The 24,065-nt window shown below is 41.9% G+C and overlaps 1 protein-coding gene, 1 long non-coding RNA gene and 1 other non-coding gene across 20 annotated transcripts in view, besides 2 other annotated features; 2 read left to right on the top strand and 1 right to left on the bottom strand.

Moving 5' to 3' along the window:
- Positions 1-3,252, top strand: part of MYB (MYB proto-oncogene, transcription factor) — a 37,865-nt gene extending 34,613 nt beyond the window's left edge. For all 17 annotated transcript variants that reach the window (NR_134965.2, NR_134958.2, NR_134961.2 and 14 more), the window contains one exon: positions 1,944-3,252. Coding sequence is in view for 9 of the 17 variants with exons in the window: in NM_001130173.2 (NP_001123645.1) it covers positions 1,944-2,060 (117 nt within the window). In the remaining 8 variants the exon portion in view is untranslated. The remainder of the gene's footprint in view (positions 1-1,943) is intronic.
- LOC105378011 (uncharacterized) overlaps positions 1-20,275 on the bottom strand; it is a 40,301-nt gene extending 20,026 nt beyond the window's left edge. Inside the window, exon 1 of one of the 2 annotated variants that reach the window (XR_001744368.2) lies at positions 20,100-20,275. This is a non-coding gene — a long non-coding RNA (uncharacterized LOC105378011). Of the gene's footprint in view, positions 1-960; positions 1,973-20,099 lie in introns of those variants that run through there. The other variant, XR_001744367.2, reaches the window with a different exon arrangement.
- Positions 18,153-18,312: an enhancer, noted in NCBI's record as "active region_25103". NCBI's record gives its function as "activates an Ori minimal core promoter by ATAC-STARR-seq in GM12878 lymphoblastoid cells {active_cell/tissue: GM12878}" and the evidence as "EXISTENCE:reporter gene assay evidence [ECO:0000049][PMID:35858748]".
- Positions 18,323-18,392: an enhancer, noted in NCBI's record as "active region_25104". NCBI's record gives its function as "activates an Ori minimal core promoter by ATAC-STARR-seq in GM12878 lymphoblastoid cells {active_cell/tissue: GM12878}" and the evidence as "EXISTENCE:reporter gene assay evidence [ECO:0000049][PMID:35858748]".
- A 2,964-nt stretch (positions 20,276-23,239) lies between the features above and the next one.
- Positions 23,240-23,336, top strand: MIR548A2 (microRNA 548a-2). The gene has a single exon (NR_030317.1). It is a non-coding gene; the product is annotated as a microRNA 548a-2 (primary transcript).
- The last annotated feature ends 729 nt before the right edge of the window (positions 23,337-24,065 follow it).

Raw genomic sequence — 24,065 nt, forward strand, 5'->3', positions numbered from 1 at the left:
CTGTAGGCTCTGAACAGCTAAGGCCTTTCTTATTCTTTTGTCCCATGGAAAATAATCCCTCCAGATAGCAATACCAGGAATAGTGCCTTTTCTAACCCACTGGTTTCCTTTTGAGCTTACAGCCACCAAATCTTATATCTGTTTGTTTCTGTTCCCCTCTCTGCATTGACTGCTAGAGAGATCAGAGTCAAGCAGGAGGTTACATCTAGCTGGGGCACTGTGCTTTATGCTGGTGTTTCGTGTGCAAATCTCATACCATCTTCATGTTACAGTTGTTCCTTAGTGTCCATGGGGGATTTGTTTCAGAACCCGCAAGGACACCAAAGTCCAGGGATGCTCAAGTCCCTGATATAAAATAGCATTGTGTTTGCATATAATCTACACACATCTTACCATATAATTTTTTTTATTATTTGTATACATTCGTGGGGTACAAGTGTAATTTTGTTACATGGATGTATTGCATAGTGGTCAAAGTCGAGGCTGTGAGTGTATTTATCGTTGGAATAATGTACATTGTACCCGTTCATTCCTGTATACTTTAAGTCATCTCTAGATTACTTATAATAGCTAATACAATGTAAATGCTATGGAAATAGTTGTTATATTGTTAGGGGATAATGACAAGGAAAACACCTATACATGTTCAATACACAGCAATTATTTTTTTCTGAATATTTTTGATCTGCCATTGATTGAATCTATGGATGTGGAACCCACAGATATGGGACCCACAGATGCAGAGGGCCAACTGTGTTTATTTTTTCCAAATTTGTTTCCCTGTTATGACTCTTCTTTATACACATTTTTAAACTCTGTTGTCTTGTATTTCTTTTCTAATCATCTTACGTCCTTTTGGAAACCAAGTGGGGCATAAATAGTACATGTTTGCATTTGAGGCAACACAGAGGCATCGCAGGAGCTGGAGACAGCAAAGTTCAAAGCCAGTCCACCACTTACCTACAGAGTGGCCTTGGGCAAGTTACCTCCATTTTCTGTCTCCATTCTCGAGCCTGTCTAGAGAGAGAATGAACCTGCCTCCCGAGGTGATGGTGCTGTTTTAATGAAATAATGCATGTGAAATGTGAAGTGCCACTGTCCCTGGCATGGAGATGCTGTCCTTAGATATTAGGTCCATCTTGTATCTTCTAGTGTATCTTTAAAAATTAAACTATACTGGCTTCATGCCTGTAATCTCAGCACTTTGGGAGGCCAAGACCGGCAGATCACTTGAGTCCAGGAGTTCAAGACCAACCTGGGCAACATGGTGAAACCCTGTCTCTACAGAAAATACAAAAATTAGTGGGGCTTGGTGGCACGTGCCTGTAGTCCCAGCTGCTTGGGTAGCTGAGGTAGGAGGATCACTTGAGCCCAGGAGGCTGAGGCTACAGTGAGCTGTGATTGCACCAATACCGATCAGCCTGGTATGACAGAGCATGACTCTGTCTCAAAAAAAAAAGGAAAAAAATTAAACTATACTGATAAATATTTCTAAAGTAATTGATGAAAACATATATATGACACTTAGCAGGTGTTGATCAATTCCAGTGCGTGCATGAGCTGCTTTGCACTGTGGCTACAGCACTCAGCAGTTTGCTTAGTGAGTAGATGGCCATAGCTCACTTTAGGTATCTGGAGAATAATGCTCATTCCTGTCTCCAGCTTTGTAAAATTGCCTAATAGACGGAAGGCATTAAAATATGAAGATGGGATTATATCTTATGAAGCTGCTTGGAATGGGTTTTCCCTCTTAACAAATAATTTCTGATCATCCATATCCCTTAAGAACACCGGATTTCTGGGGGCCAGGGAGGTAAGATTCTATCTGACAAAGCCTTCCTGGTGTCAACCACTTGCCATCTGTTGGTCAGTGCTGGCCCTGCTGGGTCTATAGAATGAGCTTCTTTGTCTGACGCTCCTGTTGCCATCCCTTTCTCCATCAGCCTTGTAGCAGTACCTGGGAACCTGCATCCTGTGGAAAGATGGAGGAGCAGATGACATCTTCCAGTCAAGCTCGTAAATACGTGAATGCATTCTCAGCCCGGACGCTGGTCATGTGAGACATTTCCAGAAAAGCATTATGGTTTTCAGAACACTTCAAGTTGACTTGGGATATATCATTCCTCAACATGAAACTTTTCATGAATGGGAGAAGAACCTATTTTTGTTGTGGTACAACAGTTGAGAGCAGCACCAAGTGCATTTAGTTGAATGAAGTCTTCTTGGATTTCACCCAACTAAAAGGATTTTTAAAAATAAATAACAGTCTTACCTAAATTATTAGGTAATGAATTGTAGCCAGTTGTTAATATCTTAATGCAGATTTTTTTAAAAAAAACATAAAATGATTTATCTGTATTTTAAAGGATCCAACAGATCAGTATTTTTTCCTGTGATGGGTTTTTTGAAATTTGACACATTAAAAGGTACTCCAGTATTTCACTTTTCTCGATCACTAAACATATGCATATATTTTTAAAAATCAGTAAAAGCATTACTCTAAGTGTAGACTTAATACCATGTGACATTTAATCCAGATTGTAAATGCTCATTTATGGTTAATGACATTGAAGGTACATTTATTGTACCAAACCATTTTATGAGTTTTCTGTTAGCTTGCTTTAAAAATTATTACTGTAAGAAATAGTTTTATAAAAAATTATATTTTTATTCAGTAATTTAATTTTGTAAATGCCAAATGAAAAACGTTTTTTGCTGCTATGGTCTTAGCCTGTAGACATGCTGCTAGTATCAGAGGGGCAGTAGAGCTTGGACAGAAAGAAAAGAAACTTGGTGTTAGGTAATTGACTATGCACTAGTATTTCAGACTTTTTAATTTTATATATATATACATTTTTTTTCCTTCTGCAATACATTTGAAAACTTGTTTGGGAGACTCTGCATTTTTTATTGTGGTTTTTTTGTTATTGTTGGTTTATACAAGCATGCGTTGCACTTCTTTTTTGGGAGATGTGTGTTGTTGATGTTCTATGTTTTGTTTTGAGTGTAGCCTGACTGTTTTATAATTTGGGAGTTCTGCATTTGATCCGCATCCCCTGTGGTTTCTAAGTGTATGGTCTCAGAACTGTTGCATGGATCCTGTGTTTGCAACTGGGGAGACAGAAACTGTGGTTGATAGCCAGTCACTGCCTTAAGAACATTTGATGCAAGATGGCCAGCACTGAACTTTTGAGATATGACGGTGTACTTACTGCCTTGTAGCAAAATAAAGATGTGCCCTTATTTTACCTACTTTTGTTTTCTCTCTTATTTGTCACTATGGACAACAGTTACACTTTAAAGAAAATGGAGCAGACTCAAGGCACTTTCCTCTAATAATTGCACACCATATGCACTTCGTGTGAAGAAGCCAGGAATCATTACAATGGAAAAGAAAGAACAAGCAAACTGAGTTAAATAGTTCACAAACAATCACATGGACAATGGGGAGGAATCTTCCAGAATGCATCAGTCAGGGTCTAGCGGCATTTGAGTGCGGATGCTGTAAGGGGAATTCGTTCACAAATGTACTGATACCACAGATGTGGGCAGGGGCTAGGAGAGCAACAGGGTGCAGGCCTGAAGGCACCTGGAAGGCCGCCTGGAGGGGGACAGTCAGGAAAGCAGGAGCCCTTGAGAGGAGCACTAGCCTTTGATGAGACCACTGCCATCGAAGGAGACCTCACAGGGAGGGAGCCAAGGGTAAACCCTAACTTTGTTTCCCCATTTCTCCTATCTCTGCCTAGGGGTCCTCACTGGCAGAACCAACCAGAAGCTGGAGGACAAGGGAGCTCCCATATGGGAGCCGGCCTGTGAGCCTTCAAGGGTATGCGGAGTCGTTTGTTCAAAATAGCCCCATTTCACAGATGAATCTCTACTGGCTCCATCTTCAGCTTAGTGTTCTCTTCACTATGCTGTAATATCCCTTTTAACATAAATTCCTTTAAATTTCCTTTACTCACTCTGTTCCAATTCTGAATTCTCATGGGCATGATACACTTGGTGTTCATAGAGCCAAGGATTTGTTACGCCTAATTACTAGTTTTTGAGTCAATTTGGTGGACTTTTACTGTCCTGCTGATAGATGACGTGACACGTCTTCCCAGTGTTGGGAAGCTCTTTATATTCATGCCCTCTCCGAGTATTTTTCCAAGCGCTGACTCTGCCACTTACTAGCAGTTTGAACTTAGACAAGTCACTCACATCTCTGAGCCTTTTTTCCTTATCTGGGCAATGAGTTCTTTCCCACAGTGAAACTTTTATTAAGTAATGCACTATACAAATGTTTGTTATTATGTACACTTTCCACAGTCCAGTGATGCTTGCTGTGTAGTGTGTTGAATGCCCATCTTGCTGATAATGTGCACTGCCAATTACACAGTTATATTGAGAGGTCACTTAATTATTAATGACAAGAGTGAACTCAACATCTTACAGAACTGAAATAGATATTTATATTTCCAACACGCTTGTAACCCAATAACTAGAGACTAAAAACCTAACTTCATGAAAAGGAGTGTAAATTTAGCTGTTATGGTCAAATACTCACACAGCACACCCAGTTCACAAGCATCTCCAAAACGTTGATTGTTCTGATCAATTTTGAAAATCATCCTGCTCTCTACAGCAGGAATTCAGGTAGTACAAGTGAAAACAGTATTATATACTACTTAAATGAAAGGCTGCCCTTGTGAGTTACTGTGTGTGAAGTTGCTTCTGCGTATGTCCATCCAGAGAACAGGAGAGACACTGAGAAGACTGATGTGTCCCCGACCTCTAGATGGGACTGAAAATTCAAGATAAGAGAGATGCCCAGGGATAAACTTCCTTCTTTCTTTAGAAATTATACAATATTAGAACTGAAAGGGACATTAGATATCATCAGGGCTTCCCATAAGGGGCTCACTGTCTTGCTTTATTGAAAGAAAATCAGTTTTGAAGCCAGACCAATCTTTTTTTTTCTTTTTAAATATAGGTGGTGTCTTGCCATCTTGCCCAGACTGGTCTCAAATTCCTGGGTTCAACCAGTCCTCCCACCTCAGCCTCCCAAAGTGCTGGGATTACAGGTGTGAGCCACCGCACCTGGCCACCAATCTTGATTTGAATTCAGACCCTACCCTTTACCAGCTGTGTGACTTTGTATGTTTTACTTAATCTCTCAAAGCTTTATTTTACTTATATTTTAATTATACTGGAGATAAAAATGCATTTCAAGTCAAGGTTGTTATTGTGAAGATTCTGCAAGTAAATACATTCTTGCATCTCTGTAAAATGTTGCCGTGCCTGTTGATTAGATAAGTCACCATGATGACTTATGATCAATTAGAGAAAAATGTCTGTTACCCAGCGATGGGAAAGTGAATACCTCCGAGACCCATGTCCCCAATTGTGTGTTAAAACTATTCTATGTTAAAAACTTACTTTAAAACTCAATTATATCTTCTCAAAATATTACTAATCATTCTAACATATTTTAGTTAATATGTTTCTCCTTGTACAAATATATATGTGGGAAGTAGAGGGCATATTTTTCCTTAAGCTTGCTGCTTTCTAATCCAAAAAAAATGTGATGTGCAGGTCTATTACACTCCACTTAAAATACTTACAACTTTGGGGCTTATTTTTCTCCTTTGAACCATTACTATTATAAAAATCAATTCTTCCTTAGTCACCAAGTCCTCATCCTTGAGGAAAGGAAGTCAGCTAAAATACAAATCTCTTTGTAAAAGTAAAGTTTAGCGACTTGGGAGGCTGAGGTGGGAGGATCCCTTGAGCCCAGGAGTTTGAGACCAGCCTGGACAACACAGAGAGACCCCATCTCTGAAAATAAATAAATTTCAAAAGTAAAGTTTACTTATATACAATTATACCTAGTAACTTTGCTCCCTATAGCAAAAGGAAGCTAAACTATAAATCTTATGGAACTTGTTAGTGTTCTGGTAATAAACAGTTAATAATTTTTTAAAATTAATATTCAGTGAAAATAATCTTGGCCAGGTGCGGTGGCTCATGCCTGTAATCTCAGCACTTTGGGAGGCTGAGGCAGGTGGATCACCTGAGGTCGGGAGTTCGAGACCAGCCTGGCTGGCCAACATGGCAAAACCCCATCTCCATTAAAAGTACAAAAATTAGTGGGGTGTGATGGTGCGTGCCTGTAATCCCAGCTACTTGGGAGGATGAGGAACAAGAATCACTTGAACCTGTGAGGCGGAGGTTGCAGTGAGCTAAGATTGCACCACTGCACTCCAGCATGGGCGACAGAGGAATGCTCCATCTCAAAAAAAAGAAAGAAAAGAAAGTAATCTTGATGCTAATATGGAAATGAAAGAGGTGGTTTGATATTTGTCTTTACACTATATTTCTTTAATTCAACTAGTACATGTCGAGGCTCTATTTTGTGCCAGGTGCTGTGTCAGAAGTTGGGGTTAGAGCTCAGAACAACATAGATCAAAGTCCCTGCCCTCTGTGAGCTTATGTTCAGATGGGAGATACAGATGAGTAAAGGTTACTACAATATAATCAGAATAGGGATAACGGAGACCACGTAGAGCACCAGATCAAGACGTGGAGGAAGAAGACAGGTTTCCTACAGAACTGACACCTAGGCAGGACTGACAGATAAAGTCAGGCAAAAGTTGGAAAGGACAGTAGAGTAAGATGTGACATCTTAAACTTGCTGAATAAAAACACCCAAATATAACAAGTTATCTTTAAATTCATGATGATATATTGTATTTGGACATTCAGGCAGTTCTACTACCTGAGTATATCTAGTTAGTAAATTTTTTCCCCATGCTCCAAACAACAGTTTCACACCCCTTTCTCTCAAACTCTCCATCCCGTTTCTACCCAGTCCCCGCAGATAACTTTGACTCATACACGAATGAGAAAAGAGAAGCCGTCAAGAGCCACACCTGCATGCCTACTCTGTCTCTTGTTAGCATGGGTGAGCATGCCCAGCTGCAGTCATGGACTGGCCCATCCATCTGGCCTCTGCAAGCCATTCCTCTGTATCCTCAGGGGTTTCATCTTGTGAATACTCTCTCTCTCCCCGACATCATCATTGTCTTCCTCTCTCCCAATTATTCCCTCACATTAACATGGTCTACAACTTCCAGCAGGAAAGACAATGTTCCCTCATCAGTATAGTTTAATTTTTTTTCTTTTCTTTTTTCTTTTTTTTTGGGGGAGTGGGGACAGAGTCATGCTCTGTCATACCAGGCTAATCAGTATTGGCACAATCAGGGTTCACTGCAGCCTCAGCCTCCTGGGCTCATGTGATCCTCCTACCTCAGCTTCCCAAGTAGCTGGGACTACAGGCACGTGCCCCCAAGCCCCACTAATTTTCGTACTTTCTGTAGAGACAAGGTTTCACCATGTTGCCCAGGCTGGTCTCAAACTCTTGGACTCAAGTGGACAATATCCCCTTATATACCCCATCATACCACCCCATTTATCTGCTCCTCAGCAAAACTGCTTAAGGGAATTCTGTATGGCAGGTCCCCACTTCCCCAGGTTGCCTCCCCTCTGCCCACTCCACATGAACTTTCATTGCCCCCACTCCTCCATGCCTGCCTCTTCAATGTCACCAGTGACCTCCACTTCGCCAAATGCTGTAGTCACTTCTTGGGCCTCATTTTACTTTACTTATTGGCAGCAGTCAACAGAGTTGACACCCCCTCTTTCTCTAACCATTTTTCTCTCTTGGCTTCAGGCATGACTCTCTTGGTTTTCCTGCTTCTCACTGGTTCCCTCTGTTTGCTGCTCCTCCTCACTTTGGGCCTCAAGTGGCCCTTTCCTCCTTCTCTCTCCATCATTCTTCCTAAAGGATTTCATCAGTGCTGTGGCTTTAAATACCATCTCTTCACCCCTGAGCCCACTCTGAAATTCTAGACTCCTGCAGCCTATTCCATGTTAACATCTTCCCCATATAAGCATCTTAGATTAAGTATGAACAAAACAGAACTCATAATCATTTAAATGCTTTTTTCTCATTAGCAGTAATTGGCCCTTGTATCTTAATTTCTTCATTTCTCAAGCCAAAAATTTGTCATCCTTGGTTTCTCTCTTTACCTTATTACCCTCCTTACACTCAAATGCTCAGAAAGACCTGAATATTCTATCTGCAAAATGTATCTTAAATGTGTCTGCTTTTTCTATTACCTGTAATAATCTTGTTAGTAATGACACAATATTTATGAAGTGCTCTCAATATGCTAGGGAAGAAGAAAGAGGGAGAGAGAAAAGAAGAAGAAAGGTGATGTCTGAGAGGTGAGTTTTGAGAAACTGAAAGAGAAACCTGGAGGAAAAAAAAAGATACGAGGCCGGAGAGAAAAGCGGTGTAAATAGAGCTTGAACTTTGTCCGTAGAGATATGGGGAGTTATGGAATGGTTTCTGCAGTGATATAAAATTACTTATTTATAGCTGATTCATATAAATAATTTTGTTCAAATCCCTTTTTCATAGACAGTATAAAATTAAACCTTAGGTTAGCAGGGCCAAATGCTGGCAGGGCCTGAATCTTATACTCAGTTAATTGGATTGTACATAGTGCACTTCCTACTGCTTCTTAATTTCAAAAGAATGTGCTTTAATCCCAGAAAAATCTTATTGAAAACATATCTTTTGATCCGAAGTTCATAAGGGCTGTTTTCACGTTTTATAGTCCATAAAGTAATTAGTTCAGGAAGAACTGATTACTTAAAACTCTTTTCTTTTTTAAGAGCAGAATATTATCAACAAATAATTTCTCTAAAAGTTTCCTCATCATTTTCAAAAGCCAAATCTTCTACTGAATTTTTCGTATGGAATAATCTGATTATATTTTGATATTTTGGTCATTAAGAAATTCTGCCAATATTTGTTCTTGAAGGTGTTCTTAGCTTAATTTTATATTTTCTTTTACTCTTTAATCTAGAATGCATTTGTAGAGTCAATGATCCTCAGAAACACATTGGAAATTTGTTTAAAATGGAGATTCTTGACGTCACCCTCGGATTCTGATTTATGAGTCAGGTGTAGACCTGGGAAGGTTTAACAAGCTTGCAGCTGATTCTAATGCAGGTGGTCTGAGAGGACCACACCAAAACACCCTGCCTTACTCCCCCAACCCTGTGTTTTCTGTCTAAACACTCCCCAATAGCTTTCAATTCCTTTGGGGCCCATAATTTTTAATTAAAATGCCCATTTGTCTATAGAGTATTAGAAAAATATTAAGACCCTAACTATAAGTAGATTTTCTTAAATCCAGGGAATTATTATGTTCCAGATGTTGGTACTAATAATGGCTAACCTCGGCCGCTGATCCATCTTTTGTTTGATTTTTATAATATATGGGGAAGCATAATTTTGTATATATCTAAACCTCTTTAGAAATATGGTTCAATTGCATATGATCTGTCATAAGGGAATTTATATCTCACGAAGTTAAGCGCATAAACAAAACAAGACCAAACACACACACACACACACACACACACACACACACACACATTTTCATTCAGAAATCCTTGGTTCTAAACCAGTCTCTAATCAACATGCCAAAAACCCTTGTTTCAAATCACTTTACTCCTCTGTGCTTTGGGATTTCTATTTAAATGGGGTAAGTATTTAATCCTGTATATAGTTACAAAGCCCAGGGAGAACCTCAGATCAAAGACAAAATTGAAAGAAAGCTTTAGTAGGCCAGAGACATTGGAGTACCAAGGATATAATTGTGAGGTTTTCCTGCTAGAAAACATCCTCTGAAATGAACTTATAAGTTAACAAATCACCCTTCGCCTGTGTTTGGGGGCAGATGTTAGGCAGAGTCAGGATTTGTTTCCATTCGGTCACTTTTCTAAAGAATACAAATCCATCCACCTATTCTTTAATGGTCCTAAATAGCTAACAATGGACAGACAACTCCCTTCCCTTCCTTGCCCAGTTTCCGAGTCAAGGCGCGCAGTGTTCAGTGTATGACCTGAAGCCTTCTGGAAAGTGGTGATTGGTTAGGGTACTCGCCAGTTTGGCCTTACTTTGAACATCCCAAATTTATTTCCTTCCCCATTTCAAATATTCCGAAATGAAAGACATTAGGAGCACGTATTCTGGTTAAATACGGTGATTGAAAATACGAATGAATGCCACTCCATCATGAAATTTCACTAAATGACAATGAGTCAGCAAATAAGGGGCATAAATATACAAGTTAAAGAGAACAACAGGTAAGAGATTATTTGTCAAGAGCCTGTAACTCATTTATTTATTCAACAAATATTTACTGAGCACCTCCTCTGCAAGCAACACAGAATTCAAAACAATTAAATATGTATTACATATACAGCATATATGTTTACATATAAACAATATATAACATATATAAAGTTACTGGCAGAGTAATATTTTCTTGGATAGTCACAGATGTATTAAGAAACAGGCTTGTTTCAAATTTGCTTTTTTAATAACCATATTTCTTTAACATATTCTTTTTCATCTTTTACCATTTCTGACATCAGATTGTGTCTTTAACATGGTCTGATTTTTCTTTTGTTGTAAACTTATTAAACCCATAGAGTCTTATAATTGATGATACCATAAAATAAAGGAAAAGCTTGGAAATTAACCAGCAGAAATTTCAGAAAGGACCCCTTAGGTTTCTTTTTTTTTTTTTTTTTCTTCTGAGACAAAGTCTCACTCTGTCACCCAGGCTGGAGTGTGCAGTGGTGAGATCTCAGCTAACTTTCATCAGTAATGAAACCAGCAGGTGTTCTGCTCCCCAAAAACTTTGTCCACTGTCTCCAGACACTCAGAGCCACATGCTTAACTGTGGCTCATGGGTTAATGCATGTCTGAACTTTTTCAGGGTGGAAACTCCCTTTTTTCTTTAGTGTCTAACCCAATGCCCAACATGACATAAGTGCTCAGTAAATATTCAGACAATCCACGTATGAATGTGGTTGAGCATCTGTGAGTGGTCTCACCTCCACCCTACATGTGTTACTATGGTCAACCACTTCATCTCTGTGGGTCTCTGCTTGCTCAGCTATAAATTATTTGGGATCAGCTCAGCCATAGATTCCCTCCAACTCTAATTATCTCTGAGTAAATGAAGTCATGAAAATATGGGAAACTGAGGCAGGAGAATAGGGTCTAGAGGCAGGGAACCTAGGGCTGATTCACAATTAATTCCTAGAACTAAATCAAAAGGAAAACCCCCAACTTGCCATGCCCAACTATCAAAAGGACCAGAGGCTACTCCCTTTACAACCCCCCAACTTTTTCCGCATGGCAGATGAAATATTGAAAGTACCTCTGATTGGTCCCCTTCTGCAACCAATCAGGTTGGTCATGGGTCAAGTCTTCATTTGCATAGGAGTATAACTTTGTATATACTCTATTTTATCCCCTCCCACAAGCAATCAGACTGATCATGGGCCACCACTTCATTTACATAGGGTGTACACCAAGTAAGCAATGGGAAACCTCTAGAGGGTATTTAAGTCCCAGAAAATTGTGTAACTGGGCTCCTGAGCCACTTGCTCAGGTCTGCTCCCACCCTGTGGAGTATGCTTTCATTTTCAATAAATCTCTGCCTGTGTTGCTTCATTCTTTCCTTGCTTTATTTGCACATTTTGTCCAATTCTTTGTCCAAGACACCAAGAACCTGGACACCCTCTACCGGTAACAAAACTACAGTGATTTTAGAGGGTTTGTTTGAAGTGTGTATTGCTCATGAAGGTAATGCCTTTGATGATAACATTTGCTAAACACCACGTAAAGGAAGGGAGGCATTTCCACACTTTGGGTCTCCTCCCATCTCTATCCCCAAGCCTTAAAATTTCTGCTTAAATGGGAGTCGAAGGAACCCAACAATACTCAGTTGTGTCACTTAAAGGCTGTGCAACATCGGGAAGCTTTCTGTATGTCTTACAGCTAGTTCATATCACAAGCCAGCCGTTTCATCATGCAAAAGTCTAAAACAACTTACACCTACTTTCTAACATTCTTACGGAAAAACCAATACTGTTGAACAGAGGTGGACAAATTATAGCTCCTGGCCAAATCTGGCCCACTTCCTGTTTTAATAAATGCAGTTTTATTGGAACACAGCCACACCCTTTTATTTCCCATATTATCTATGGTTAGTTTTCTGCTGCAATGGTGGAGTGAAATAGTTGCAACAGAGACCATGTGACCTCCAAAACCTGAAATATTTACTATCTGGCCCTTTACAGAAAAAAAGTTTGTGACCCCAGCCCTAGAAGAAAAGTAATCAAAAATCACAATGGCAGTATTAGTGGTGAAGATAATGGATTCTGCTTCAGTTAAACAGTGTAACTGAGCTTATGATTTTTCTTTTCCTTCTTTTTTTTTTTTTTTTTTGAGATGGAGTTTTGCTCTTGTTGCCCAGGCTGGAGTGCAATGGCGCGATCTTGGCTTACCGCAACCTCCACCTCCTGGGTTCAAGCGATTCCTGCCTCAGCCCCCTGAGTAGCTGGGATTACAGGCATGCTCCACCATGCCCAGCTAATTTTGGATGTTTGTAGAGATGGGGTTTCTCCATGTTGGTCAGGCTGGTCTTGAACTCCTGATCTCAGGTAATCCACCTGCCTCGGCCTCCCAAAGTGCTGGTATTACAGGCGTGAGCCACCGCACCCAGCCGTGATTTTTCTATTACCTAGGTCCTTTTGTTGGCTACACACCATGACTGCTTCTGTTTGGGAGTTGAGAACATCTGGTAGGTTAAATTGGCAATATTTGACTGATTTGACCTACAATATGTGGTCAACTTCATGTGACTCAACCTAATACTTTGGCTTCCTTCAGTGTGTTCAGTTTCAATTCCCCGCTCCCTTTGTAGTCTTCCAGCTACCTCAGTGATTCTTAATCTTAGCTGTGTATTAGAATCATCTGAAGAACTTAAAAAAAAAAAAATCAATGCCCAGGTCACACCCAGGACCAAGTGAAGCCGAATCTCAAGGGGGAGAAACCAAGCCCTTGGTAATTTTGGAAAGCACCCCAGGTGATTCTGAAGTGCAGTAAGGCTTGAGAACTATGGAACTACCAAGAGCTTTTGGCAATACGCATGTGCTAGGTGCTATAGACTCCTTCCAATTGGAGAAAAGAATGTGGACAATTGTAATAAATAATTGGGGCAAGCCGGCATAGTGGTTCTCAAACATTAGCATGCAACCAATCACCTGGTGGGCTTGTGAAAACACAGATTTTTGGTGCCAACCCCTCAGTTTCTGATTCTGTAGGTCTGGGTTGAGGCCCGAGCCTTTGTAATTCTAACAAATTCCCGGGTGACGTTGATACCATTGGTCCAGGACCCACACTTTGAAAACCACTGTACCATTACCATCTTCCGTGGGCCCAGTGCCTAGCTCATAGTAAGTCCTTTGTATGTGTTTGCTGAACAGATAATGGAATTCTGGCGGAGTCTATGCTGGCAATTCGTCTGTGTTAGATGCTAGGATATAGCAGTGAACAAGACAAACAGTATCTGTCCTCATGGAACATACACTCTAGAGAGAAATACATGACCTCAAGAGTGGGTATGAATGCTGCAAAAGGGAAGCATGGAATACTGTAGTGGCCCATAGAAATCACTGAGCCCAGGGCTTCCTAGCCTTCTGAAAATCCCTCTTTTAAATAGCATTTTGCCAAGGTCTATCATCACTAGGTCAACTGGAAAACAGGGAGAGAATGCTCACTTGGAAAGATTGTTGAGTTGTGTGGGGGCAGGAAGACAGAGAGAGAGAGAGAGAAAGCACGTGCACTGCTTGATAAATAAAAAGAAGAGTAAAAAGTGAGCCTCACCAGGAGTCAGATTTAGGTTCCTACTTTGTTCTTATTGCCACTGGCTATAAACATAGGCCTATTTAATCAATTATGAAATTAGATTGCCTCTAATATATCTATAGTCCTCATAATTCCCAAGAGGAAGGCTATGGAGGTGTGAGTGAAGATTATATAGCTCTTTCCTCTGCCCCCCTCACATACATACAGTGTCCAGAGTGCTAGCCCATCTTAGAATTAGAGGTCTCCACTTCCAGTTATTTGAGCTACTTAAGATTGCAAAGACCCAAGACACATTCAGACTCAGGTGGTCTCAGCTAATGGGGCCTTTCTGTAAGGACACAAAGAGAAGTGTGGGAGAAACAAAAAGGGTTTCAGCAGCAACAATATTCAGGCCTTGAGCTGGTAGGTTGGTTAGCTGGGATACTGCGGTGATTCTGATGGCACAATTTCCCCTTTAATCTTCATTTCCATGGCTCAGTTGCTGTTCCCTCTGCCCACGCAGGTCTACAGGCCCACTAAGAGCACCCCCTGTCTCTCAAAATGGTTACAGCCTCATATTATCTTCATAACCAATAGGATGACAGGATTGTTTTTGATCTGGGCTTAATTTTTGAATTTTTTTTTTTTTTCTTGAGACAGAGTCTCACTCTGTCACCCAGGCTGGAATGCAGTGGTGCAATCTCAGCTCACTGCAAGCTCTGCCTCTCAGGTTCAAGCGATTCTCCTGCCTCAGCCTCCTGAGTAGCTGGGATTACAGGCATGTGCCACCACACCTGGCTAATTTTTGATTTTTAGTAGAGACGGGGTTTCACCATGCTGGCCAGGCTGGTCTTGAACTCCTGGCCTCAGGCGATCTGCCCACCTCGCCCTCCCAAAGTGCTGGGATTACAGGCATGAGCCACCAAGCCCAGCCGATTTTTTTTTCTTTTTTCTTTCTTTTACAAACTAGTATCAGAGGCCCTCATGTTTTTTTTTTAAGCTAAAGTCCCAGTAATCTTGTCCACAGGGAAATCCATGAATAAAGTACTACACCAATAATAGATTTTGGTGGAGTAGAATTTTTCCTGACTGACTACTGCAAGACAATTAGTAAGTTTCTCCACAATTCCCTCCTTCCATCCTCTTCCCATTCCTCTAGTTGTTTTCCTCTGAGTGCTCTCTTAATAGGTATTAACATTTTTTAAACGTCTTCTTATCTCCAAGCAGGATGGTGGTGGTTTTAGCAGGGAGAGGAGGAGTTGCAGGACTACGCTCACTGGAGAAGCTCCCAGCAACCATAATCAGGCAGCCAGAGAGCTCACCCCACCCCATCTACAAAAACAACCAGTATATATTGAAATTTGTGGAGCTCCCTAAGTCACAAGTCTCAAATCTATTTATAATACTGATTATGGGGTCCCTTTGGTTCAATTATTATTTAAGAGAGTAGTCTGGGACATGAAGTAGCATGTGCTTGGGACATAAAATCAATTATAGGGCTATGTGGGCCTTATTCTAGTTGAAAACAGTTGTGGAGTATTTCCAGGGCCCCACTTCCAGAACTCTGCCAGAACCCCAGCTCTGTAGCACATGCTGACTGCTCTTCCTCCTAACTTCTATAATAGCTGAATCATTCTTCTGGAGTTGCCTTGCCTCTTCTCTCCACCACTATATGTGTTTTTTAGTTTTCTCTACTCAGTGGATTTCACCCTCTGTCCCAGATATCTAACCCCTTTGGCAGAGCCGTGAGATAATCTTCTACCCTTCTACAGACCCCTAGTCCATGATTTTCTTTCCTTATCTTTTATCTTTGTTTGTATCACTATAGAGAAGGAAGTCCCAGGAGTTTAAAAAAAAAAAAAAGAAAGAAAGAAAATAAAGACAGACCCAAAATATGACTCAGAATTAGAGCTTCAATGAAGGAACACTCTCTGGGCCACCAGGCAGGAGTTGCATTCTTGCCAACCCTTCCTATGAGCAGGCAGGCAATGCCACCATTCAGACTATGTAAGTCATTTTGAAACTGATTGCAGTTGGCGCTTTTATTGGTGTCCTTCCTTTGAAGTTGACTTACAGATCATTGGTGGTTTTGTCTGCAGAACCTGGTGCCAAGGTGAAGTGAAAAACCTTTGCTCACAAAGCAATATTCTTAACAGTCTTTTGTCCTGGGCTACCTACCTATCCAATTAAAGGTGAATACAGATAGGTTGGTGGATGGATAGGGATGGCTAGATGATTTGATGCTATGCTAGAGCAAGTAGTGTAAGATGTCAATTGTAGATCTAGGCCTAAGTGTATGGGTGTTTGCTTTAAAAATCTTTTGACTAGGAGCAGTGGCTCATGCTTGTAATGCCAGCACTTTGAGAGGCCAAGGCGGGCAGATCACTTGAGGTCAGGAGTTCAAGACCAGCCTGGCCAACACTGGCAAAACCCCATCTCTGCTAAAAATATAAAAATTAGCCGGGTGTGGTGGTGTGCACCTGTAGTTCCAGCTACTCCGGAGGCTGAGGCAGGAGAATCACATGAACCTGGGAGGTGGAGGTTGTAGTGAGCTGGGATCTCACCACTGCACTCCAGACTGGGTGACAGAGCAAGACTCTGTCAAAGAAAAGAAAAAACTTTTGATTTTTCTGGACTTTTAAAATATTCATAATAAAATGTTGACAGGAAGGGTGAACGCCATGCACTAGTAACGTTAGTGGTACATTATAAACATTTGAAAGCTGAGCATACAAGTAAGACTGGAGAGAACTTATGGGATTTTTTGTGGGGTTGTGTGTGTGTGTGTGTGTGTGTGTGTGTGTGTGTGTATGTGTTTGTGTTTTTTGGAGGCATGGTCTGGCTCTGTTGCCCAGGCTGGAGCATAGTGGCACTATCATGGCTCACTGCAACCTCTGCCTCCCAGGCTCAAGCTGTCCTCCTACCTCAGCCTCCTGAATAGCTGGGACTGCAGGCATGCGTCACCACATGGGGCTAATTTTTGTATTTTTTGTAGAGACAGGGTTTCGCCATGTTGCCCAAGCTGCTCTCGAACTCCTGGTCTCAAGTGATCCACCTGCCTCCACCTCCCAAAGTGCTGGGATTACAGGTGTGATCAACTGGACTTGACCTTTTTAAAAAATTAAATGGCTTATACTTATAAGTTAATGATTTCTTTACTCCGTATTTTCTAAATTAAAGACAGATGTTTGACCGGGTATGAAGGCTCATGCCTGTAATCCCAGCACTTTGGGAGGCCAAGGCGGGTGGATCACCTGAGGTCAGGAGTTCGAGACTAGCCTGGACAGCATGGTAAAACCCCATCTCTACTAAAAACACAAAATTAGCCAGGTGTGGTGGCGCGTGCCTGTAATCCCAGCTACTCAGGAGGCTGAAGCAGGAGAATCACTTGAACCAGGGAGGCAGAGGTTGCAGTGAGCTGAGATCGCACCATTGCACTCCAGCCTGGGCAACAAGAACGAAATTCCGTCTCTAAAAAAAAAAATGTGCAAGAAGAGAAATGATTAACATTTTGAAGGCCTTAAAGGAAATATACTATCTGATGCCAAACCTCTGATCATTTACTAACATGCGGAAAAAGGATGAGTTTTGGTGTCAGATGGTAATAAGAACATGCCCTGCCTCTTCCATTATGGGAAGTGACTTCATCTCTCTGAGCCTCAGTTTTTTTCATGTATCATGTGTGTTTTGTGGGGGAGGGTTTGGGGGATAATACCTACATCTTAAAGTTATAAGGTTTAAATGTTCTGTAAGAGATAAAGTAAAAAAGATAAAGTACCCTGTAAATATTACTTAAGAAAAGAAATCAAGTAAAATAATTTTTAACCTAAAAAGACTTTTTTGTTATCCAAACATTTCAGACACGACCCCCAAAATTTGGCCAATGCTGTGTGAATGGCACCACTAGAGGATTTTGAAAGATCAGAGGTCCTGAAGACCCTCAATTAAATTCTCCTTTAAGTCTGAAGCCCCTAAAATGTATCACACATTTAATGGTTTTTTTCCACTCTTAGGAAAAAGATGGAAATAAAATATTGTGGCTTTTAACTGGAGTTCTTCAGTAAATTACACAAAATCTGAGTGTGACTTTCACAGAAAGATACTTTGCCTGTTATTGAAACATATGGAGTCTATCATGCTCGTGAAGTTTCTGTGAGAAACCTTTGTCCCAGACTACTGTTTAATGTTGCTCCCAAGAACAGGGTGGGACTTATCCGTTTGACCTGTCTCCGAAGAGAAATGGAACTATGAGCATATTAGCAAAGCAACCCAAAACTTAGTGTCTTAAAATAACAGCCATAAGTTCCTTCTGGTGAATCTCTAGTTCTGCTGACCTCAGATGCCTTCCCTCAAGCAACTGCCATCTGCTCTGCCTCTGGATTGGGCTGGATGAGGAGCCTGGGCTGTTTGTTCACAAGGCAGCTCAGCAGAGTTTGAAAGGGGCAGGTGGAAGCGTGCATTGTCTCTAGAGATGAGGGCTCAGCACAGACAGTCACTTCTTTTGCAGTCTCTTGGTCTAAGCAGGCCACAGGATCAGCTGAGAGTCAAGCGGAGTGGACACAGACTCCACCACTGCAGAGGGAGCTGAATAATTGCAGCCACTTTTGCAAACAATCCATCAAAGCTAGCACCACAGCAATCCTCTGCACCCTGAAAGGTGCCACCAGAAGGGTCAGCATGTCTTCCCCTTTAAAGCATAAGCACAGTTGTTGAAACAGAATCCAGTTTCAAGATTGCTCATCAAAAGATGAGAAACCTGAAACAAGGAAATCTTGTGAGCAGATGGAAGGCCAGTAAGATAACATCTGAACATTCTATAATATTACTTTGGATGGAGAACAAAATAGCAATAGATAATCTGTTCACTAGTCTCTGAGTCTCCTGACGTCATGAAATTGATGACATCATGATGTCATGATTTATTTTTTAAATATTCAAAATTAGGTCTAACTCAGAAAACAGAGTTATTCCTGTGTTGGACATCAAAGGGCCTTTTATATTCTGCAGTACATTCATGTGCATATTCTAGAGAAACCTTGAGAAACAGCTTTTCCCTAGCTGAGATGTGTAAGTCCTGAGTGCCTGGTCTGCAGGCTTCTCCTCATGAGCAGGAAGCCCATGGAATCTTCTGGACTCCTGAGCTAGAAATAATCCTTCTCCCCTCTCGCCTCAAAGAACAGTTTATGAATATTTTCATCTCTCTTTACCCTTTATACACATACTTCATCTTCCTCACAAGATTTATTTATTTATTTATTTATTTTTTGAGACAGGGTCTCACTCTGTCACCCAGGCTAGAGTGCAGTGGTGCGATCACGGCTCACTGCAGCCTGAAACTCCTGGCATCAAGTGATCCTCCTACCTCAGCCTCCCAAAGTGCTGGGATTATAGGAATGAGCCGCCATGTCTAGCTTCTCATAAGATTTTTATGTCAGACCGCTTTTTTTTCTATTCATCTTGGTGTCTCCCATAGCACTTAATACAGTGCCTCCTATATACTGGAGCAGAGCAGGGCTGTTATTTAGCTGTGTGTGTCACTCATAGTTGGTGTCCCTTCTGATTGCTTAGTAACCATACCATATCACTAGTAAATAAACACACACACGCATGCACGCACGCATGCACACACACACGGGGAGGGAGAGAGATTCATTTGATTAATAAAGAATCTGTGGACATTGAATCTATTATTATATGGGATTATATACTCCAAAATGCCCTCCTAGTCCAATATAACTAGCTCCTGTATACATTTCAACAAACATACTTTTAAAAAGAATTTTTAGCCTCGGAAAAATGTAGGCGGAATCTCTAAACCTCCCACCCAAGGAAGACAAAAGAATAAGAGGACAGAGAGGCCTAGCAGACAAAATCCAAGCCATACGCAGCAAGTAACCCCAGAAGCGGAAGCCACCCTGGCAGAACATACTCTTACCATCTCTGGAACATGGAGACCTCCACATTCATCCGGGACCCCCAGAGGGGACTAAAGTGCTTCCAGGTTGGTAGCTGTGGTGCGCAGAATTCTAAAGATGACCCCTTCATGCAGAGTCCTGTGCCTTACTTATGCAAATGCTAAGCTAGGCACAGCTATGAAAGAGTTTTGCAGTTGTCACTAAACTCCCGAGTCAGCCACCCTGCATGAAGATCATACTGGTGGGCCTAGCCCAGCAGGCAAGCCCTTTAAAGCAGAGAATTTTCTCTAGAAAGTAGCAGAAGAGGAAGTCAGAGAAATTCAAAGCGTGAGGGGATTCACGCCTATTACTGGCTTTGAGGATATAGGGGTCCTCATGCAAGGAACAGAGAAGCCCCTAGAGCTGAGAGTCACTCCCACCTGACAGCCAGCAAGGAAGGGGTCCTCCGTCCTCACCAGCCACAGGATCTGAATTCTGTCAACAGCCTGAAGGAGGTCGAAAGCTGATTCTTCTTCTCAAGGACGTCCAGATAAGCGCGCCATCCAGCATCTGCCTCCATTTTGACCCTGTGAGACCCTAAGGACCCAGCCCTCTCCTAGCCTGTGGACCACATCCCTGTGAGCTCATAAAGGAGGGTTGTTTTAAGTGGCTAAGTCTGTGGTAATATGTTATGTAGCAACATGTGTGACTATGAAGTTTAAAGGTATGAATTTTAAAGGGGAAAGGGAATACAAGCCGCCTACTCCTGATAACTGGTTAAAAGGAAAACTGTCACCAGATAAAATCAAGTCTCAGTGAAGGGAAAGAGATCAGGCAGCACTGAAGTTTGACATGTGCCTGTCAAAATGAGAAGATGATAGGATGACCAGAAAGATGCTCACAAACACAGTTATCAAATATCAAGTTCTCCTCCCTTCCTTCCTTCCTACATTCCTTCCTCCCTCCTTCCCTCCCTTCTTCCTTCTTCCTTCCTTTCTTCATTCCTTCCTTTTCTTCTTTCTTTCCTTCATTTTCTTCTTTCTTTCCTTCCTTCTTTCTCCCTCTTTCTTCCTTTCTCTTTCTTTTTCTGTCACAGGATAGAAGATTACATTCATAAAGCTACATGAAAAGCACATATCTCTGCTTTTCATAAAGCAGAAAATACCACAGTCAGATGGAGGTAGATCTTCCTACTTCCCAAAAAGTTTCCCAAAGGGATATATAGCTGTAACTGTACATTCCTACCATCTTAGAGTGAGGATTCTGCCAGGCATGAAAAACTCCTTTGTCCCCTCCTGCCTGATGCTGATGGAAACCCCGCCTTCCTGCCTCTCCTAACACCTTCCTGTTTGCTCTAGATGCAGCGAGATGAAGGCAAATGTCCCGAGAGCACCGTGAGCAGGCTTAGCTTCAGGCTGGTCTGAAACCCAAACCCATAGTTGGTTTTTTTTCGTTTTGTTTCGAGACAGGGTCTTACTCTGTTGCCCAGGCTGGAGTGCAGTGGTACAATCATGGCTCACTGCAGGCTCAAACTCCTGGACTCAAGCAATCCTCCCATCTCAGCCTTTGGAGTAGCTGGGATGATAGGCACGTGCTGCCTCACCCAGCTAATTTTTTTATTTTTTGTAGAGACAGGCTCTCGCTATGTTACCTAGGCTGGTCTCAAACTCCTGCCCTCAAGAGATTCTCCTGCCTCAGCCTCCCAGAGTGCTGGAATTATAGGTATGAGCTGCCATGCTCAGCACCATGAGGGTTTCTTGATGGTTGAAGGGGAGCTTCAGAAGGCTCAGGGAAAACAATGTGAGGTGCATCTGAGAAGTGAACTAGCACTCAGAAATGTGGGGCCGGGTGCAGCAGCTCATGCTTGTAATCCCAGCACTTTGGGAGGCCAAGGCAGGAGGATCGCTTGAGCCCAGGAGTTCCAGGTGGTAGTGAGCTATGATTGTGCCACTGTACTCCAGCCTGGGCAACAAAGCAAGACCCCATCTCTAAAAATGAAAGGAAGAAAAAAAGAAATGTAGGCCCTGAACATGACTCTGTCATTTTGGGCCTGATGGTGTTAAGCCATTTAATCTTTCTGACATAATGTATTGTGTGGGGGGTGGGGTCAGGGTGCTGAAGGGGGCAGGGCAGGGAGAAGACAGGAGCTTTCCCAACTATGCTGAGAGAATTGTTGTTTTTTCACTTGGACACATGAAAAAATGACAAAATTCATAAACTCTAGGGGAATTGTCGGATTTAAGTCATAGTTCTATTGATCTTACAATAGTGTAAATATTTTTTCCCAATCAAAGATGTACTACAGTCACTTCCACGTTGCTCAGTGTGAGATGATAGGCCAGACACAGTGGCTCATGCTTGTAATCCCAGCATTCTGGGAGGCTGAGGTGGGAGGATCGTTTGAGGCCAGGAGGTCATGACCAGCCTGGTAAACATAGTGAGACCCCGTTTCTACAAAAAATAATTAAAAAAAAAAGAATGTGAGATGATAGTCCAATGGTCCAGTGATACATCTTTCCTGCCTCCTACGTTTTCTATTCATGTGAATATTTGCTTTTTTTTTTTTTTTTTTAGATGGAGTTTTGCTCTTGTTCCCCAGGCTGGAGTGCAATGGCGCCATCTCTGCTCACTGCAACCTCCACCTCCCGGGTTCAAGCAATTCCCCTGCCTCAGCCTCCCGAGTAGCTGGGATTACAGGCATGCGCCACCACACCCAACTAAATTTTGTACTTTTAGTAGAGACGGCATTTCACCATGTTGGGCAGGCTGGTCTCAAACTCCTGACCTCAAGTGATCTGCCCACCTCGGCCTCCCAAAGTGCTGGGATTACAGGCGTGAGCCACTGTGCCCGGCCATTTTGGCCATTTGCACAGTTTTGAATATGTACTCTGCTTGCACATACTTTTTTTTTTTAACTTCCTTATTTATTGACTTGATCAGTTGTGATTTCTGTGATGGTGACTGTGTTTACTTGGGGAAAAAACCCAAACAGAAGTCCTGTTTATTGTTTTTCTCAAAAACGTCTAAGAGATTAGCAAGGCAAACTCTGTTGTCAGGAAAAGTCATGGGCAACCCAGAAGTATTTAATGCTTATAAAATTGTAAGTGTATGTAAGATGCTAATATAGTTGAGCTAAACTATAAGGAATGGGACTGTGTACCCCTGCAATTGCATACAAAGTTATGTATAACTGTGCTTTTCTCCACGAAAAGGGTCTTTAGGATTTGAGAACTCTTTAGTCTTGACCCCTTTAGTTACGGTTTTCTTGGATGCAAATGACAGGAACCTAACTTAACTATCTCAGCCACATCTTCAGAAGGTAGGAGTGGGGATAGCCTCAAAGGCAGCTGGAGGCAGAGACTACAATAGCATCAGTGTTGTTTCTGCTTCTTCTGTGGGTCAGCTTCATTCTCTCAAGCCACCAGCAGCTTCAGACTCATATCCTGATAAGCTTGCTACCTCCCAGCTCCAAGTATGAACATCTCAGGGAAAGACACTCCCTTACTGGCCCAGCCTGAGTCCATGCTGCTTGGGTCAGGTTCCCTAGAAGTAGACCCTGCCATGAGGCTGTGTGTGCGCGTGTGATGTGTATTAGGTTTGTGCAAAAGTAATTGGGGTTTTTTGCCGTTAAAAGTAATGGCAAAACTGGCAATTACTTTTGCACCAAACTAATATAATGAAAGTGCTCTAAGAGAAAGGAAATGGGAGGTAGGGGGCTCGGGGGAAGTACAGGGAACAGGACAGGGAATGGGGAAGAAGCCAAGCAAGGGTATGATTTCAGGAAAATTCCAGACTTAGCTTTATCCTGCAAGGTCACTGTAGTGTATAAATGATGCTCTGAGTTATCCAGACACCAGACAAGTTTCCTGGGCTTTAAACTCCCAAAGCAGTCAGGCATTGGCCAAAGGCCACCCCAGGGAGCATGAATTTCAAGTGCTTCTGACTCTTTGCACTTGCCTGCAGGCAACGCATAAAGGCAAAGCATCTTCAGTAGCCTAGGCTAGACCTCAGAAAAGAGTCACAGATGTGAGCTCTTAGACAAAAAGCACATAGAGCCAAGAGCACAGGCATGCAGAAATGGGTACGCCAGTGGAGTGGCACAAAGAACCAAGAGTGTCTGTTACACGAGGCTTTTTCAAGTGCCTTGGAATTCCATGTATCCTCTGTTGATTCAAGGTCTCTCTTCTTGAACAGCGATGTGGCCAAGAATGTGGGGTGACATAAATGATGGCTGCTACCATTGGCTCTCATGGCTAAAACTAGGAGAAGAAGTTCCTCCAAAGGAATGTGATAGACAGGTAAAATATAATTGTCTACTAAAAATACTTCTAAAAGATTAAGAACATGAAAGCACTTTCAAACTGGAATTCTGCAGATAACATTGAAGTTTCAAGGAGTCTTGGTCT

The sequence above is a fragment of the Homo sapiens genome, chromosome 6 (genome assembly GCF_000001405.40).
Source record: "Homo sapiens chromosome 6, GRCh38.p14 Primary Assembly".
Lineage (NCBI taxonomy): Eukaryota > Metazoa > Chordata > Mammalia > Primates > Hominidae > Homo > Homo sapiens.